Source organism: Homo sapiens, chromosome 8 (assembly GCF_000001405.40).
Source record: "Homo sapiens chromosome 8, GRCh38.p14 Primary Assembly".
Lineage (NCBI taxonomy): Eukaryota > Metazoa > Chordata > Mammalia > Primates > Hominidae > Homo > Homo sapiens.
This window is the reverse complement of record NC_000008.11, coordinates 144,211,165-144,230,005: the sequence shown is the minus strand read 5'-3', so window position 1 is coordinate 144,230,005 and position 18,841 is coordinate 144,211,165. Positions and strand designations below refer to the sequence as shown.

The window sequence follows — 18,841 nt, the reverse complement described above, 5'->3', positions numbered from 1 at the left end:
CTAGAGTGCAGTGGCGCCATCTCAGCTCACTGTAGCCTCTGCCTCCCAGGTTCAAGTGATTCTCCTGCCTCAGCTTCCCGAGTAGCTGGGAATACAGGTGTGGTCCACCACGCTTAGCTAATTTTTGTATTTTTAGTAGAGACGGGGTTTCACCATGTTGGCCAGGCTGGTCTCGAAGTCCTGACCTCAAGTGATCCGCTGGCCTCAGCTTCCCAAAGTGCTGGGATTACAGGCATAAGCTGTAATGACTGCAAAGGAAAAGCTAAGAGAAAACAAAAAAGCCTTATTGCTGGCATGGAGACATTTTAAGAGCATTTTATTATTTCTTTGTTTTTGTTTGAGACACAGTCTTGCTCTGTCACCCAGGTGGGCAGATCGCTTGAGCTCAGGAGTTTAAGACCAACCTGGGCAACATAGCAAAACCTATCTTTAAAAAAACAAGACAAAACAAAACAAAAATTAGCTGGGCATGTTGGTGTGTGCCTGTAGTCCCAGCTACTCAGGAGGGTGAGGTGGGAGGATTGAGTCCAGGAGGCTGAGGCTGCAGTGAGCTGTGATGGAGCCACTGAACTCCAGCCTGGGTCACAGAGTGAGACCCTATTCCAAAAAAAAAAAAAAAAAAAAATTCATAAGGTAATTAATCGATTGCTGCCATAGACAGTGATTTCTCTCACAGATCTGGGCAACAAAAACTGAAAACCTTCTGGGAAGGATTCACTATAGTAGATACCATGAAGAGCATTTGTGATTCATGGGAAGAGGTCAACAAAATCAACATGAACAAGAGTTTGGAAGAAGTTGATTCCAAACCTCATGGATAACTTTGACAGGGTCAAGACATCAGTGGAGGAAGTCACTGCAAATGTAGTGGAAACAGTAAGAGAATTAGAATTGGAAATGGAGCCTGAAGATGGAACTGAATTGCTGCGATCTCATGATCAAACCGGAATGGATGAGGTAGTGTTTCTTTTGGATGGGCAAAGAAAGTGGTTTTTTGAGACTGAATCTGCTCCTGGTGAAGATGCTGTGAACGTTGTTGAAACGACAACAAAGGATTCAGACTATTCCATAAACTTAGTTGATAAAGCAGTGGCAGGGTTTGAGAGGAATGACGCCCATTTTGAAAGATCTACTGTGGGTAAAATGCTATCAAATAGCAGTGCATAAGACATAGAAAAGTTTTGTGAACAGAAGAGTCAATCAATGCAGCAAACTTCATCATTGTCCTATTTTAAGAAATTGTTGGCCAGGTGCAGTGGCTTACGCCTGTAATCCCAGCACTTTGGGAGGCCGAGGCGGGTGGATCATGAGGTCAGGAGATTGCGACCATCTTGGCTAACATGGTGAAAACCTGTCTCTTCTAAAATACAAACAATTAGCTGGGTGTGGTGGCGTGTGGCTGTAATCCCAACTACTTGGGAGGCTGAGGCAGGGAAATTGCTTGAACCCGGGAGGTGGAGGTTGCTGTGAGCTGATATTGCGCCACTGCACTCCAGCCTGGCAACAGAGCAAGACTCTCCATCTCAAAAACAAGAAATTGTCACAGCCACCCTAACCTTCAGCAACCACCGCCCTGATCAGTCCAGCAGCTATCAATATCAAGGCAAGACCCTCCACCAACAAGAAGATTATGACTGGTGATGGCTCAGATGATCCTTAGCAATTTTTTTAGCAATAAAGTGTTTGTAAGTTAAGGCATGTACATTGCTTTTTAGACATAATGCTATTGCACATTTAATATACTACAGTATAGTGTAAACATAACTTCTTTTTGAGAGGTTCTCGTTCTGTTGCCCAGGCTGGAGCATAATAGTGTGATCACAGCTCACTGCAGCTTCAGCCTCCTGTGCTCAAGCAATCCTCCCACCTCAGCCTCTTGAGCAGCTGGGACCACCGGCATATGCCACCATACCCAGCTAATGTTTTTAAATTTTTTTGTAGAGATGAGGTCTGGTTACATTGTCCAGGCTGGTCTCAAATTCCTGGCCTTAAACGATTTTCCTGCCCCAGCCTCCTAAAGTGCTTCCCCAAACAACATTCTGTTTTCTTTTTTCAGGTAGGGTGTCACTATGTCACCCAGGCGGGAGCGCAGTGGTGTGATCACAGCTCACTGCAGCCTCGACTCCCTGGGCTCAAATGATCCTCCCACCTCAGCCTCTCGAGTGGCTGGGACCTGAGGCATGAGCCGTCAGGCCCAGCTAATTTTTTTTTTATTATTTGTAGAGATAAGGTCTCGCTATGTTGCCCAGGCTGGTCTCAAACTCCCAGGCTCAAGTGATCCTCCTGCCTTGGCCTCCCAAAGTGCTGGGATTACAGGTGTGAGCCACTGCGCTGGCCCAGCATTCAACTTTTTGTGTGTGTGTGACAGGGTCTCATTCTGTCACCCAGGCTGGAGTATAATGGCATGATCTTGGCTCACTGCAACCTCTGCCTCCCAGGCTCCAGTGATCTTCCTGCCTCAGCCTCCAGAGTAGCTGGGACTACAGGTATGTGCCACCATACCCAGCTAATTTTTGTATTTTTTGTGGAAATGGGGTTTCGCCAGATTGTCCAGGCTGGTTTTGAACTCCTGAACTCAAGGAGATTGAATGATCTGCCCGCCTCAGCCTCCCAAAGTGCTGGGATTACAGGCATGAGCCACTGCGCCCAGCCCCCAGCATTCTTAATAGTAAAAGGCAGTATGTTCCCCTTATGGGAACAAAGCAGGGGTGGCTGCTCTCACCACTTCTATTCATTCAGCAGCATGCTAGAGACTTCACCAATGTAGTAAGTCAAGAAAACAAAAAAAGCTAACCCAGATTTACAAATAAAAGTGCCTATATGAAGAAGACATGATGCTCTATGTAGAAAATCCCAAAGAATCTATAGAAAAGCAAAGCCACAGGATACATGGTCAATATCTAAAAATTAATTGTATATTCTGTATGCTAACGATGAACAGTTAGAAATTGAAATGAACAAAATTGTACCATTACAATGGCAGTAAAAACAAAATAGCTTTTACAAATCTAACAAAATACCAGAATATACAGAATCGACATGCTGAGAATTACAAAATACTGGTGAACAAAATCGAAGATCTAAATAAGTGTAGAAATGTACTGCTTTCATGGATTGGAAGACGGAATATTATCAACAAGATGACTCTAAAATTTACAGGGAAAAACAAAGGAACTAAAATAGCCAAAACATGATCGAAAAAGACCAAAGATGGAAGACTCACATTACCTGACTCCAGAACTTACTATAAAGCATCTGGGCATGGTGGCTCACGCCTGTAATCCCAGCACTTTGGGAGGCCGAGGCGGGTGGATCACTTCAGGCCAGGAGTTTGAGACCAGCCTGGCCAACACAGTGAAACTGCATCTCTACTGAAAATACAAAACTTAGACGGGTGTGGTGGTACACGCCTATAATCCCAGCTACTCAGGAGGCTGAGGCACGAGAATTGCTTGAACCTGGGAGGTGGAGGCTGCAGTGAGCCAGCATGGCACCATTTTACTCCAGCCTGAGTAATAGAGCAAGACTCCGTCTCAAAAAAAAAGAACAACGTAAAGCCATGGAAAGACAGTGTGGTACTGCTGACAGATGATGACAGATGCCGCAGATGAGTGGAGCTGGAGCGTTAGAGAGAATCCATACAGTTGCCTGATTTTCGACGAAGATGCAAGGCAATTTGTCAACGTACAGAGAAGAGTGTTCTCAACACGTGGTGCTGGGACAACTGGACATTCACATGCAAAAAAACGAGCCTCAAACACACCTCACATTTAACAAAAATTAACTCAAAAGGCCGGGCACAGTGGCTCATGCCTGTAATCCCAGCACTTTGGGAGGCCGAGGCGGGAGGATCACCTGAGGTCAGGAGTTTGAGACCAGCCTGTCCAACATGGTGAAACCCTGTCTCTACTAAAAATACAAAAATTAGCCTGGCGTGGTGGTGCACGTCTGCAATCCCAGCTACCCGGGAGGCTGAGGCACAAGAATTGCTTGAACCCAGGAGGTGGAGGTTGCAGTGAGCTGAGATCACGCCATTGCACTCCAGCCTGGGCAATAGGGTGAGACGCCACCTAAAAAAAAAAAAAAAAAAAAAAACTAAAAATGAATCATAGGCCTATATGTGAATCCTAAAACTTAAAACTTTTAGGCCACGTGCAGTGGCTCACACCTGTAATCCCAGCACTTTGGGAGGCCGGGGCAGGCAGATCACCTGAGGTCAGGAGTTCAAGACCAGCCTGGCCAACATGGTAAAACTCTGTGTCTACTAAAAATTTAAAAAATAAAAAATTAGCCAGGCATGGTGGTGCATGCCTGTGATCCCAGCTACTCAGGAGACTGAGGCAGGAGAATCGCCTGAACCTGGGAGGCAGAGGTTGCAGTGAGCCAAGATTGCACCACTGCACTCCAGCCTGGGCAACAGAGTGAGACTCCATCTCAAGTAAACTGGCCATTAAAAAAAAATTAAAACTTCTGCTCTCTGAAAGACAGTGTTAAGAAAGTAAAAAGACAAGCAACAGACCTGTAAGAAAATGTCTATGGGCAGGAGCAGAGGCCCATACGTATAATCCCAGCACTTTGGGAGGCTGAGGCAAGCAAATCACTCAAGGCCAAGAGTTAAAGATCAGCCTGGGTAACACAGGCTGTCTCTATTCAAGAACAAAACAATATGTATTAAAAGTTAAAAAAATACATATTTATAAGCCATAAATCCAACAAAGGACTTGTGCCCAGAATATAGAAAGATCTCTCAAAATTCTATAACAAGAAAACAACCCAATTTGAAAATGGGCACAAGAAGTGCCACCCATGGTGGCTGGCGCATGCCTGTGGTCCCACCTACTCGGGAGGCTGAGGCAGGAAGATCACTTGAGCCCAGGAGTTTGAGCCTGCAATGGGCCATTATCGTGCCACTGCACTCTAGCCTTGGCAACAGAGTGAGACCTTGTCTCTAAAAAATTAAAAAACCAAACATAATTTAAATGGAAAAAAAAAAAGAAAGTTAGGTGTGGTAATATAGATAAAACAGTAAAATAATAACTAATTCTAATCTTTAACTCATGTTTCTCCAAAAACCTTAAAGGGGAATCTACATCCAGGCGAGGCTCCCTGATTTGTCTTCTCCTCCCCAGTGGCCCTGCACCTGCCTGCTCCAGAATCATCCGGCCACCCCTTGGGCTGAACCACAGAGCCCAGCACCCAGTGGCACCACAGGGCCTGCCGCTGCCGCTCACCCCCTCTACAGTGTGTCTGGCGAACACCCCAAGGCCCACTTGTCTCAGAGCAACATGTCCTGCTTTGCTTTTTGAACATTTTATCATGAATAATTTGAAACATGCAAAAGTAGAAAGGTCGATACACTGAACCCCACACATCAAGCAATGGAGACTGAGTGAGAGGCTCCACGGAAACAGCAAGGTGCTGTGGTTAAAACACATTTGAGTGCTGGGTGTGCTGGCACACACCGGTAATCCTAGCACTTTTTCAGGCCGAGGTGGGAGGGTTGCTTGACCTCAAGAGTTCGAAAGCAACCTGGGCAACATAGTGTGATCTCGTCTCTACAAAAAATAAAAAATTAGCCAGGTGTGGTGGCATGAGCCTGTAGTCCCAGCTACTCAGGAGGCTGAGGTAGGATGATCGCTTCAGCACAGTTCAAGGCTGCAGTGAGCTGTGATCTCGCCAATGCACTCCAGTCTGGCTGGCAGAGCGAGACCCTGTCTCAAAAATAATAATAATTATTATTACATAGATATAAATATCTGAGTGTTAGATTCCATCCTATTCAAAATGGTTTTTCTTTTGGTTTTAGAAAACCTTAATAACGTTTTCTAATATTCAAAGAAACCTCCAACTCCCAAACTCTTGGGAACTGAAAGACTAAAACAGAGGCCTTGGCTCTCCAGTTCATGCCTAACGACCCGTGGAGCTGCCATGGAGACGCTGAGGTCAGAATCAGCTGAGCTGGTGGCGGCCCACCTGCTGGGGCCTGCAGAACAGGCATGTGTGCGGCTTCCTCACTGACGACCACGCACTTAGAGGCAACATCACAGCATGCAGTCACTGAGCTCAGATGTTTCCAGTTAAATTCACGTATCCCACTTGAGGCACAGTGGGCACCACAGTGATGGTCACGAGAACACAAGGAGGGCGGCGTGTCTGTTCTGAGCTGGCCTTGGTGGACAGACCAGCTTTGCCAACTTGAAGAACCAGACCCAGAGCTGCAGGGACTCAAGCACCGATGCGCTCAGCAGCCAGCGGGCTGCAGCTCAGGGTGACAGAGGGCTGTCTAGACCATCTGTGGGTTATTTCACCACGTTCTACCTTGCTCTCCTTCAAGAAATTGGCATTTGTACAGTAACTTCTTAAATAGAAAAGCCCCAAATAGGACAAACTCTCCATTTCCTGCTTCTGCGTTCTGAGTCCTGGGAGCTGCTGAGAGGACTGGCTCAATGCAGAGGCTCTGACTGAGAAACCAGAGGGAGCCAGGCACGCATGTGCCTGTAGTCTTGGGGGGCTGAGGCGGGAGGGTCTCCTGATCCCAGGAGTTCCAGGCTGCAGTGTGCTATGATCACACCTGAGAACAGCCACTGCACTCCAGCCTGGGCCACAGAAGCAAGACCCTGTCTCTATTAAACAAAAGACAGCAGAGGGCACCTCCGCACGCAGACTGCAGCCCACATATCCACCCTCTGCTGGGCCAGTGGCTCCTGATGCCAGTGCCTAACACAGGCCAGGGGCAGCGTGGGCCTAGGAGGCAGGCAAGGTGGCAGCCCCTTACCTCCTGCTCGGGGGGCAGCGCGCACTGCTGCACGATGTACTCGATCATCGCCTCACCTCCAGGCTGCTCCAGGTAGCCGTGGTGGGCCATGGCGCTAATCACCTGCACCACTGCCCGCTTCACCTGCCCAGAGAACAAATGGGAGATCAGGAAGGGGACGCAGAGACTGCCATGCCAGTCCAGCCAGCAGAGAGGAACCTCAGTCTTCCTCCCACCCACATCCACACATGTGCCCACAACTGCAGTTACACTGACACCTGTACCTGCACCCATACCTGGGCCTGCACCTGAATCCACACCTGTACCTGGACCTACCTCCACATCTGTACCTGGATCTACCTGCACCCACATCTGGGCCTGCACCTGTACCCACACCTGTACCTACCTGTATCCATACCTGGGCCTGTACCCACATACCTGGGCCTGGGCCTGTACCCACATACCTGTGCCAACGCCCACACCTATACCCACACCTATGCCTGCACCCACACTTGCACCTGTGCCTGCATCCATACCTGCATCTGTACCTACCTGCACCCACATCCACACCTATGCCTGCTCCCACACCTGTACCTGAACCTACCTTCCTCCACACCTGTGCCAGCACCAACACCCATACCTATAATTACCTGCATCCACACCTAAGCCTGCACTCACACCCATATCTATACCTACCTACCTGGGTCTGCACCCACACCTGTACCTGGATGTACCTGTACCTGCACCTGCACCTGCGCCTGTGTCTGCTTTTTTCTCTGTCCCTAAGCTGTGTGAAGGCCCCTTTGCCCCTGGAAGGCAGCCTTCCTGCCAGCTTGTGGATGTGCTCAGGTCCGTAGGGAAGGATTCTTCTCCTCCAGTTCCCTTTGCCTCCCTCCCCTGCTGCCAGAGGAGAGCATCTCACTTACTTTCCCTCCTCCATCCACTTCCATCAAGCTGCACCCCAACTCCAAGAGAGCTGCTCTGCTGAGGGCTCCACCCAAAGCCACCCTGCCCCCAACCCCCAGCCTCCTGGGCACTGGCAGCTGCCCTTCCCAGGCTCCAAATACACCCATCCCTCCGTCTGGGGCTCACCCTGGCCTCAGGGGGTGGGGCTGCTGTCTTTCTGAGCTAGCTTCTCTCGTGTGATCCCCATGTTTCCTGGGGTGTACCATAAATCTGGTCCCTGAATCTGCAGTTGTCACCCCAGCAATCCTAGGAGTTGAGCCTGCATGTCCAGCCTCGCCCAGTAACCATGCCTGGTGACTCGGAGGCACAGCCAGGCCAATGTGGCGCAACCAGCCCTTCCCCTGAGCCATGGCTTCTGCCCATGCTGCCCTCCCTGGGGATCCTTTTCTCCAGCATCGTGACCACGCCTCTGCCCCTTCAGCTCTCACGTCCAGCATCCCCACCCCGAGGAGGCTTCCCCAAGCACTTCCTCCTTGTGCTATCTCAGAGAACAGGGTGGGTGTGGAGGAGCGAGCCGGTTGGTCTCAGACTGCCCAGACTGTGTGCGTTTAGCCACCTGGCATTGCAGGTGGTGTCCAAAAGGACCAAAAGACCCTGTCAGGGGTACGGTGGGGAGAAGAGCTCTGAACGCTGGGGAGTGTGTGGAACACGTAAGGAGCACCGCAACAGATGTGGCATGGGGTCCGTTTCAGTACCTTCTGGGGAAACAACAAGAGTCTCACAGAAGGACCTCAAGAGGAGGCCCAGCACAAAGGCTGGAGCAGCCCCCGAGAAGGCTAAGGGTCTCTGTTCCCCCTGTAGCAAGCAGGTCCTACCCAAGACAGCAGCCCCTGGGTAACCTGGGTGCAAACCTGGGTGCAGTCCTAACTTTCGCAAAGATCCACCCGCCCAAAGCTAGGCCTGGCCTCTGCCCTGGGGTCCTGGGAGGTCATCACTAAGCCCCAAACATCTGGCCTGGTAAGAATGTTCTTGTCCACCTGGGGTCTTAGGCCACACCAGATGGTCTCATGTGACAGGTGGAGGCTACGGGCCACGTGGCATCAGCTCCACCTCCAGAGGGGCTGGAGATAGCTCAGCCACGAGGGCGCCAACCGGGTCCACATGACAGACCCCAAGGCAGGAGCTTCCCTGGTTGTGATGCTCTGTGACCCACATTGCTGCTGTGAAGAGGGGCGGGGGGTCTAACACTGTCCGCGACCCCAGGGGAGGATGGCTGGGAGCTCTGTGTGTGGGCCCTCCTGGATTCTGTCCCAGGCACCCCAACCATGGCTGATGTGGACCTGCATCCTTTTGCTGCAATCACCGCGAGCAGAGCAGCACTGTGAGTTCCAGGTCCTTCTAGAGAACAACTGAGCCTGAAGGAGGGGCTAGGGACCCGCGGGCCTATAACTGGTGCCAGTGTAGGGTGGCCTTGGGGACTGTTTCCTGAGTGAGATGTGGGAAAAGCACCAGCCACACACTGAATGGCACACTGTCATCCTTTGTTCCCAAGCTCAGTCCAGCCAAGGGTGGTGGCCGCCTGGTTGGTGGGTGATCTCACAGCACAGCCTGGCCACACCCTGCAGCTGCCTGTGGTGTGGTGGTGCAGCCTGGGCTGGCCCATGTGGTTTACCTTGCTGTTGGTGTCCAGGAGAGGAAGCCTCATGGAAGACAGGATAAAGGGCTTTTTATCTTCCATCTGAGCAGCTGCAAGAAACAAACAGGACAGCTCAGCCTACCACTGAGATGAGGACCTCAAGGTCCATTCCACATCACCAGGGGCCTGGCTTCCCCGTGGTCCCCGTGTAGGAGGAAGAGGGAGCATAAGGAAAGCATACCCACTTTTCTTCAGGGGACAAATGATTTACTTTCCTCAAATAACATCATTCTACCTAATCCAAAAGCTAAGTGGCTGGTAGTTTAGGGCGGTCGGTCGTAGAAGAATGGGCCTGAGTCAGGTACACGCAGGTTCCAACGCCGGGGAAGTTCCTTCAGTGGTACTCAAGCGCTACAGCATCAGAATCACTGAAGGCGGATTAAGCACTGGGGGCAGGGTCCTCTCCTGCTCCCCCTCCAGGCGCTGACTCAGCAGGTCTTGGGGGGCTCAGGTGTGCATTTCTCACACATTCCAAGGTGAGCTAATGCTGCTGGTCTGGGGACCCCCTTGAGAACCATCAACAGGGCCTTCATTTCTGGATATTTAAATGGGGATAAAAAGTGGATATCTAAGAGTGGCTGAGAGACTATAAAAATGAAGGACACTGGGGACAGTGCAAGTGCCCTCTGAGGTCCACTGCACAGGACAGGACTGCTGTCCCACACGACAGTCCTTGGAGAGAAGGGTCACGACAACCCAATGTCACAGATGAGGAACTGGAGGCCCCAGGGACTGCGGAGCAGCAAATGGCAGAGCTAGACACAGCCTCTTCATGCCTGGAACCCAGTGCCTTAAAGCTGCTCATACACCCCATACCCTGGCTCCTCAATGCAGGCACACCTGGGTAGAACACCTTGTCTCTCACTGTCGGTTTCGAGGCCAGCTGCAGCTCTCTATGCCAATGTTCCCCTAATTAATGCTCTGAGCTGGCATTTAGTGCTTCTTTGGGATCCCAATTGGTTCCTTCTCTGAGGGTTTGGTATACTCCCTTGTGGGAACTCCCCTGTCACGTCTGGGGCGACTCCAGCCCTGGGTTAGGAGGATGAAACAGACGTGTGCCATAGAAGCTCAGAAAAGACAGGTTCCAGATCTAACCATGAGACATACCACACTGCTTTTAGAAGATGCTGTAGAAGGATCTTCATAGCCTCAGAACTGGGAAGTATGGAAGGCAATAAGAAAAGATGTAAGGGGTTAGGTGTGGTGGCTCATGGCTGTAAACCCAGCACTTTGGGAGGCCAAGGTGGGCAGATCACTTGAGCCCAGGAGTTCAAGACCAGCCTGGACAACATGGCCAAACCCCTTCTGTACTAAAAAATACAAAAATTGGTCGGGCGCGGTGGCTCACGCCTGTAATCCCAGCACTCTGGGAGGCCGAGACGGGCGGATCACGAGGTCAGGAGATCGAGACCATCCTGGCTAACACAGTGAAACCTTGTCTCTACTAAAAATACAAAAAATTAGCCGGGCATGGTGGTGGATGCCTGTAGTCCCAGCTACTTGGGAGGCTGAGGCAGGAGAATGGCGTGAACCCGGGAGGCAGAGCTTGCAGTGAGCTGAGATCGCACCACTGCACTCCAGCCTGGGCGACAGAGCGAGACTCTGTCTCAAAAACAAACAACAACAACAACAAAAAAAAACACAAAAATTAGCTAAGGGTAGTAGTGCACACCTATAGTCCCAGCTACTTGGGAAGCCGAGGCACAAGAATCGCTTGAGCCCAGGAGGCGGAGGTTGCAGTGAGCTGAGATCACACCACCACACTCTAGCCTGAGCGACAGAGCAAGATCCTGTCAAAACAGGGGAGGGGAAGGGAGGAGGGGAGGGGAGGGGAGGAGGGGAGGTGAGGGGGGGAGGGGAGAGGGGAGGGGAGAGCAGAGGGGAGGGAAAAGGGGAAGCGAGAGGGGAGGGGAGGGAAGAGGGGAGGGGAGGGGGGACAGGAGGGGAGAGGGGAGGAGAGAGGGGAGGGGAGAGGGGACGGGAGGGGAGAGGAGGGGAGGATGGTAAAGGACCACTGAAGTTCAGTGAAGTTCAGAATTTCTGTTAATCAAAATAGTATGAATTGAGCTGGAAGGACAGCCACTGTGGTGGACACAGCAAAGGGTGCAGGGAATTCCAACAAGTTGATGAGAACAAGACTCATCAACAGAAAGACGAAAGATGTGAAAAAAAATCTCAAGGGCCAACACCCACGCAACGCCACTGGGCTTCCCCGCTGGCCAGAGAGACACAGGATGACGGCCTGACTGGAATAGGTGCAGGAGTCCGGTGCAAAACCTCATGGGAGTAAGGATGCTGGAACAGGTAGAATGCTTGGAGGCTGCTGGAGAAACTGGCATGGGGACTTTGGAAAACACCTCGGCATCATCTAAAAGGCAGAGGATACACACACCTGAGACCCAGCAAGTCCATCTCGGGTAATGTTCCTGCACCAGAGGAGCTCTGACATATGCAGGGCGGCCTGTTTATGACAGCAAACTGCCAAGAGCCCAAGCACACACCACACTAGGATAGGGGCTGACGGGGCGCTGGCTTCCAAGCCATGGGGCAAGACACAGCAATGGAATTGAGTAGACGGGCACTAACACAGCCACCCAGAAGGATCCTGGGCCACTAACGCAGCCACCCAGAGGGATCCTGGGCCACTAACGCAGCCACCCAGAGGGATCCTGGGCCGCTAACGCAGCCACCCAGAGGGATCCTGGGCTGCTAACGCAGCCACCCAGAGGGATCCCGGGCCTCTAACGCAGCCACCCGAGGGATACTGGGCCACTAACACAGCCACCCAGAGGGATCCTGACAATGCCCTACTGGATAAAGAGGTAGGGACTCACACAATAGCAGCAAAACTAAAACAATAAGGTCTGGTCTCACAAAAATTAGGCAGGTGTGGTCACGCACACTTGTCATCCCAGCTCCTCGGGAGGCTGAGGTGCAAGAATCGCTTGAAGCCGGGAGGCAGAGGCTGTAGTGAGCCGAGATCGTGCCACTGCACTCCAGCCTGGGTGACAGAGTGAGACCCTGTCTCAAAAGAAAAGAAAAGAAAAAACAACAACAACCAACAATAAGGTTTGGTCCCTGTGAGAGTCAGTGACTGCCGTGGAGGGGCTGATGGGCCATGTGTTCTGAGAACTTTCAGCCTGGATAGATTGAGCATTCCCTTATCTGAAATGATTGCGACCCGATGTGTTTCAGATTTTGGGGTCTTTCAGAGCTTGGAATATTTGCATATACATAATGAGAGTTCCTGGAAACGGAATCCAAGTCCAAACACAAAATTCATTTATGGTTCATATACACCGTACACATATAGCCTGGAGGTATTTCATACAGGATTTCTAAAATTTTGTGCACAAAGTTTGTGTACACTGAACTGTTAGAAAGCACAGGTGTCACCTTTTAGCACCCATGTGGACAATCTGTGGTTGTCTGCCACCCCTGTCACTCCTGACTAAATTTATATGCTACCAATAAGCAATCATTTTGTTTCGTTTTTTTAAGTGATGAGATCCCACTATGTTGCCCAGGCTGGTCTCCAACTCCTGGACTCAATCCTCCTACCTTGGCCTCCGAAAACGCAGGGATTACTGGCATGAGCCACCACACCCAGCTCAATAAGCAATCATTTCTTACACTTATTCACACATAAGAACTTAGCAATAGGCCAGGCGCGATGGCTCACATCTGTAATCCCAGCACTTTGGGAGGCCAAGGCGGATGGATCAGGAGGTCAGGAGTTTGAGACCAGCCTGACCAACATGGTGAAACCCCGTCTCTACTAAAGATACAAAAATTAGCCGGATGTGGTGGCAGGTGCCTGTAATCCCAGCTACTCGGGAAGCTGAGGCAGGAGAATCGCTTGAACCCAGGAGGTGGAAGTTGCAGCGAGCTGAGATCATGACACTGCACTCTAGCCTGGGCGACACAGCAAGACTCCATTTCAAAAAAAAAAAAAAAAAAAAAAAGCAGTAAAAAATATGACATACCATTAATACAATGAAGACATCATGTGTTCAGGGTAACCAAGTGAACAGTGGGACCACCAGAACACCTGGAGCAGCCATTAAACAGCTGCAGCAGCAATCAACAGCAGCTTCCAGTCTCCACTCACAAACAAGACTGTTGAGTACTGATGGCAAAGACACTGGACACTGTGTTTCTTCTTATTATTTTTTTGAGATGGAGTCTTGCTCTGTTGCCCAGGATGGAATGGAGTGGTGCGATCTCGGCTCACTGCAAGCTCCGCCTCCTGGGTTCACGCCATTCTCCTGCCTCAGCCTCCTGAGTAGCTGGAATTACAGGTGCCCGCCACCACGCCCGGCTAATTTTTTGTATTTTTAGTAGAGATGGGGTTTCACTGTGTTAACCAGGATGGTCTCGCTCTCCTGACCTCGTGATCTGCCCACCTCAGCCTCCAAAAGTGCTGGGATTACAGGCATGAGCCACTGAGCCAGGCTCTTTGTTTTTTTTGAGACAGGGTTTCACTCTTGCTGCCCAGGCTGGAGTGCAATGGTGCAATCTTGGCTCACTGCAACCTCCGCCTCCCAGGTTCAAGTGATTCTCCTGCCTCCCAAGTAGCTGTGATTACAGGCATGTGCCACCACGCCCGGCTAATTTTGTATTTTTAGTAGAGATGGGGGTTTCACCATGTTGGCCAGGCTGGTCTTGAACTCCTGACCGCAGGTGATCCGTGCCTCGGCCTCCCAAAGTGCTGGGATTACAGGCGTGAGCCACCGCACCCAGCCCGTGTTTCATTATTTTTCTTTTTTTTTTTTTTGCGACAGAGTCTCGCTCTATCACCCAGGCTGGAGTGCAATGGCACAATCTTGGCTCACTGCAAGCTCTGCCACCCAGGTTCACGCCATTCTCCTGCCTCAGCCTCCCGAGTAGCTGGGACTACAGGTGCCCGCCACCACGCCCGGCTAATTTTCATTGTATTTTTAGTAGAGATGGGGTTTCACCGTGTTAGCCAGGATGGTCTCGATCTCCTGACCTCGTGATCTGCCGGTCTCGGCCTCCCAAAGTGCTGGGATTACAGGCGTGAGCCACCATGCCCGGCCTGTGTTTCATTTTTTAGGTGAGAAGAAACCTCAGATGCAGCTGAGGGACCAGGAAGTGGTCCTCTAGGGAGGAGGGGCATTCTGCCAGATGCTTTTTAAAGTGATTCCTCCAGGGTCATCTGCCTCACTAACAATGGTTTTTGTCTTAGACATCACTCTGATTTTGTACACTGCCATGGTTTCTTGCTCTGTTACGTGTCCTGCTGCTCCAGCTCTTCAGTAAGCCCATCGCACACTCACCACGGTGTTTCTGTACATTTCCTATAGTGTTAAGGTCATCTTCATCATGATGTCAGTGTTCAAAAAGTTTCGAACTTTGGAACATTTGTGATTTCTAATTTTTAGATTACAGACAATCAACCTGTATTTGTATTTCCCAATAAAAGATTAAAAAGTTTGATGGTTGATAGTTGAGTGTCAACTTAATTAGAGTGAAGGATGCAAAGTATTGTTCCTGGATGTGTCTGTGAGGGTGTCACCAAAGGAGATTAACATTTGAGTCAGTGGACTGGGAAAGGCAGACCCATCCTCAATCTTGGTGGGCACCATCTAATCAGATGCCAGCATGGCCAGAATAAATGCGGGAAGAAGAATGTGGAAAGACTAGACTGGCTTAGCCTCCCAGCCTGCATCTTTCTCCCGTGCTGGATGCTTCCTGCCCTCCAACATCAGACTCCAGGTGCTTCAGCTGTGGGACTGGGACTGGCTTCCTTGCTCCTCAGCTTGCAGACCACCTATTGTGGGACCCTGTGATCGTGAAATTCCCCTTCATATACACATGTATCCTATTAGTTCTGTCCCTCTAGAGAACCCTAATACAAAAAGTTAAAGAATATAAACGAACAACCCAATAGAAAAATGGACATGAGCCATGAGCAGTTGCCTCCCAGAAGAGGAGACAAAGGGAACGAACAATGGCTGGGGTGGCCGCGGCCCCACACGAGAATGCAGAACACAAGCAAGCCAGGGTGTGGCTGAGGATTTGGGCCCATTCAGGCCCATGTCCCTGAGATTCAAGACAACAAACAAACTAAAAAGCACCAAGGAAAAACCAAAAGTTACGGTCACCGATAACATTTCACATGCACCGGGGTTTACCTGCAATATTTTATTCACTCCTCAAGTTTATGGGGAGGCCAACTCCCTGCTAGGCCCTTTATAAGGCAGATGGGGCTTGCCCTCAAGTAGCTTATGTCCTAATGGAAAAGACACAAAGACAACTGGACAGTAAATAAGATCACCACACACTGTGGCAGCATCAGGAGAGGTGCAGACGAGAGGCTGAGAAACATATTCATGGGGGTGCTGCACTGGAAGAAGGGGGTCAACACCAAGGGCTATTCTGAAAAGTGACCCTGAAGCTAAGACTCAAAGGAAGAGAGCTGGCTATGTGGGAGCCACAGAAAGATGATTCCAGGCTGGAAGAGCCTCCAACATCAGGCAGCCGAGTGTGGCCAAGGAGAGGTCCCTGGTGGGAGCTTGGCCCAGGTTGCTGGTGGGAGCAGAAAGGCCGTGGTGAGGAGCAGGGCTCTGTTCCAACTGCAGGGCACTGCAGGACCAACATCAGGATATTCTATGAAATTACTGTGTTTTAAAGAAAAAGAAGAACATCTTTTGGACATCAGAAAACAAAACCAAAACAAAGAAACAAAAAAAAACCCCATGGCATCTAAGAGGATAGAAAATTAGATTATCATCAGACTTCGATAACAATGCTTTATGCCAGAATAGGGTTGCCAGATAAAATATGAGATGCTCAGTTAAATTTGAATTTCAGATAAACAATAAATAATTTTTTTTTTGAGACGGAGTCTTGCTCTGCTGCCCAGGCTGGAGTGCAGTGTGTGATCTTGGCTCACTGCAACCTCTGCTTCCCAGGCTCAAGTGATCCTCCTGCCTCAGCCTCCTGAGTAGCTGGGATTATAGGCACACGCCACCACGCCCAGCTAATTTTTGTATTTTTAGCAGAAACGGGGTTTCACCATGTTACCCAGGCTGTTCTTGAACTCCTGACCTCAAATGATCTGCCTGCCTTGGCCTCCCAAAGTACTGGGATTACAGACGCGAACCACCGCTCCCAGCCCAGCAAATCATGTTTTCAGTACAAAAATGTCCCACACAATATTCGGGGCATCCTGTTTATTTGTTTTTGCTAAATCTGGCAACTCTCTGCCAGAAGAATATGGAATAACTTAAGACACTCAAGGAAATGTCAGCCAAGAATCCTGTAACCAGCAAAACCATCAACGATAAAAGGCACAATAAACTATGATCAGCAAGCATGAGGTCGAAGATCATGTTCCCATGAGCTCTTCCCACGGAACCTACAGAGAAAGAGCTTTGGACAACAAGAGTGGCAGAGAGCCATGAACAGAGGATGGGGCTGAGGGCCACATGGGCAGTCGCCCGCAGAACCAACACCAAGAAGGCAGAGAAGGGAGAGCACGGGATGTAACAGCCGTGGTGACTCAAGCAACAGACGCGGGCGCGGCCGTTAGATCAGCAGGCTGCGGAGCAGCACGTGCAGGGCAGTCCTCATGTTTCAGTCGTGTGACTGCTGATGGCAACATCAGTGTTATTCTGGTGTTAGTGCTGCCTGTGTAACGAGATCAAACAAATGGTAATTATGGGATAGTCCAATTCTATTAACCTTGAGAACTGGATTCCTGAGAACAGAGATAGAGACGTAACAGAAAAGAGGTTAGATGCGGTGGCTCATGCCTGTAATCCCAACACTTTGGGAGGCCGGGGCAGGTGGATCACTTGAGATCAGGAGCTCAAGATCAGTCTGGCCAACATGGTGAAACCCTATCTGTACTAAAAAATACAAAAATTAACTGGGTGTCGTGGCGCATGCCTGTAGTCCCAGCTAGTAGGGAGGCTGGGGCATGAGAATCGCTTGAACCTGGAAAACAGAGGTTACAGTAAGCCATGATCCCACCACTGCACTCCAGCCTGGGGAACAAAGCAAGACTGTCTCAAAAAAAAAAAAAAAAAAAAAAAAAAAAAGTAACAGAAGAGAGGTAAAAATCTCTGAGGTCCATATGTTGAACTGGAAGTATCAACATGAACTCATAAGGTATTTTATCTATCTACTGATAGAGATATTTCCTAGCTCTGTCTACTGAAAAGGCCCAGGAATAGTAACCATCCAGAAGTAATGAGCCCTCCAGAAACAGACTACTGTCTTAAAAGGTAACTTCTTGGCTAGGTGCAGTGACTCATACCTGTAATGCCAGTACTTTGGGAGGCCGAGGCAAGTGGATCACTTGAGCCCAGGAATCCAGGACCAGCCTGGGCAACATAGTGAGACCCCATCTCTACAAAAAATAGAAAAATTAGCCAGGTGTGGTGGTGTGCACCTGCAAGTCCCAGCTACTTAGGAGGCTGAGACAGGAGGATCCCTTAAGCCCAGGAGGTTAGGGTTGCAGTGAGCCGTGTTTGAGCCGCTACACTCCACCCTGGGCGACAGAGTGAGACTCCATCTCAAAAACAAACAAACAAACAAACAAAAAAACAACACAGCTTCTCACTAAAAGGAACCAGGGCTATTTTTGTAGAAATGGCCAATTCCAGGTCTAAAGCAAGAAACAGATGAAAGAAGCCTAAAACATGAGCTGCCAAAGACCAGCAGGGCCGTATCAGAGGGATTCAGATCTCAAGAGGCTGCCGCTTGCCAAAGATGAGACGATCTGAGCTTCGGTGATGGTGATGACTGCTCTGGATTGAAGCCATCAAATGCGTCCTTCCAAACCACCTCTGGAGGGTGATAGGAAACCAATCCACTACCTTGAAAACTGATAAATAAAAACACAAAAGAATCAAGGGCTGAACCTACCTTTCTTTTTCTTTTTTTTTTTTTTGAGATGGAATTTCACTCTTGTCGCACAGGCTGGAGTGCAGTGTCGCAATCTTGGCTCACTGCAGCCTCTGTCTCCTGGGTTTAAGCGATTCTCTGCCTCAGCCTCCTGGATTAGCTGGGATTACAGGCCCGCATCACCATGCCTGGCTAATTTTTGTATTTTTTAGTAGGGAGGGGGGTTTCACCATGTTGGTCAGGCTGGTCTTGAACTCCTGACCTCGTGATCCACCTGCCTCCGCCTCCCAAAGTGCTGGGATTACAGGCATGAGCCACTGTGCCCGGCCAACCCTGCCTTTCTTATATGAACCATACCCCTGGGTAAGCAAATGGTACCTGGGGCAAGTATCTCTTTGTCAAGGTGTTCCACTTAATGAAAAATAAATGATAGAATTATAGTATCATCCTCCCACCAATTAATTAATTAATGGATACAGGCATTCAGCATCAATGCTGCTAAGACTGACGTTCAAAGGAGAGAATACCACATATCACATGACTCCTATCGTCTTGCCCAAGGGACTGAGCTTGAGTCTGAATCTGTTTCTGAATCCAGCTGCCAATGT

At 49.9% G+C, this 18,841-nt stretch overlaps 1 protein-coding gene across 44 annotated transcripts in view; it reads right to left on the bottom strand.

Annotated features, from left to right (window-relative positions):
* The window catches only part of MROH1 (maestro heat like repeat family member 1), a 113,911-nt gene that overhangs the window by 31,921 nt on the left and 63,149 nt on the right, over positions 1 to 18,841 (bottom strand). For 41 of the 44 annotated variants that reach the window (XM_047422170.1, NM_032450.3, XM_047422189.1 and 38 more), the window contains 2 exons: positions 9,333 to 9,406; positions 6,776 to 6,898 (listed from right to left, as the gene is read on the bottom strand). In XM_047422170.1, the coding sequence (XP_047278126.1) occupies positions 6,776 to 6,898; positions 9,333 to 9,406 (197 nt within the window). Of the gene's footprint in view, positions 1 to 6,775; positions 6,899 to 9,332; positions 9,407 to 16,540; positions 17,013 to 18,841 lie in introns of those variants that run through there. The other 3 variants (NM_001099280.3, NM_001099281.3, XM_011517286.3) reach the window with 1 other exon arrangement.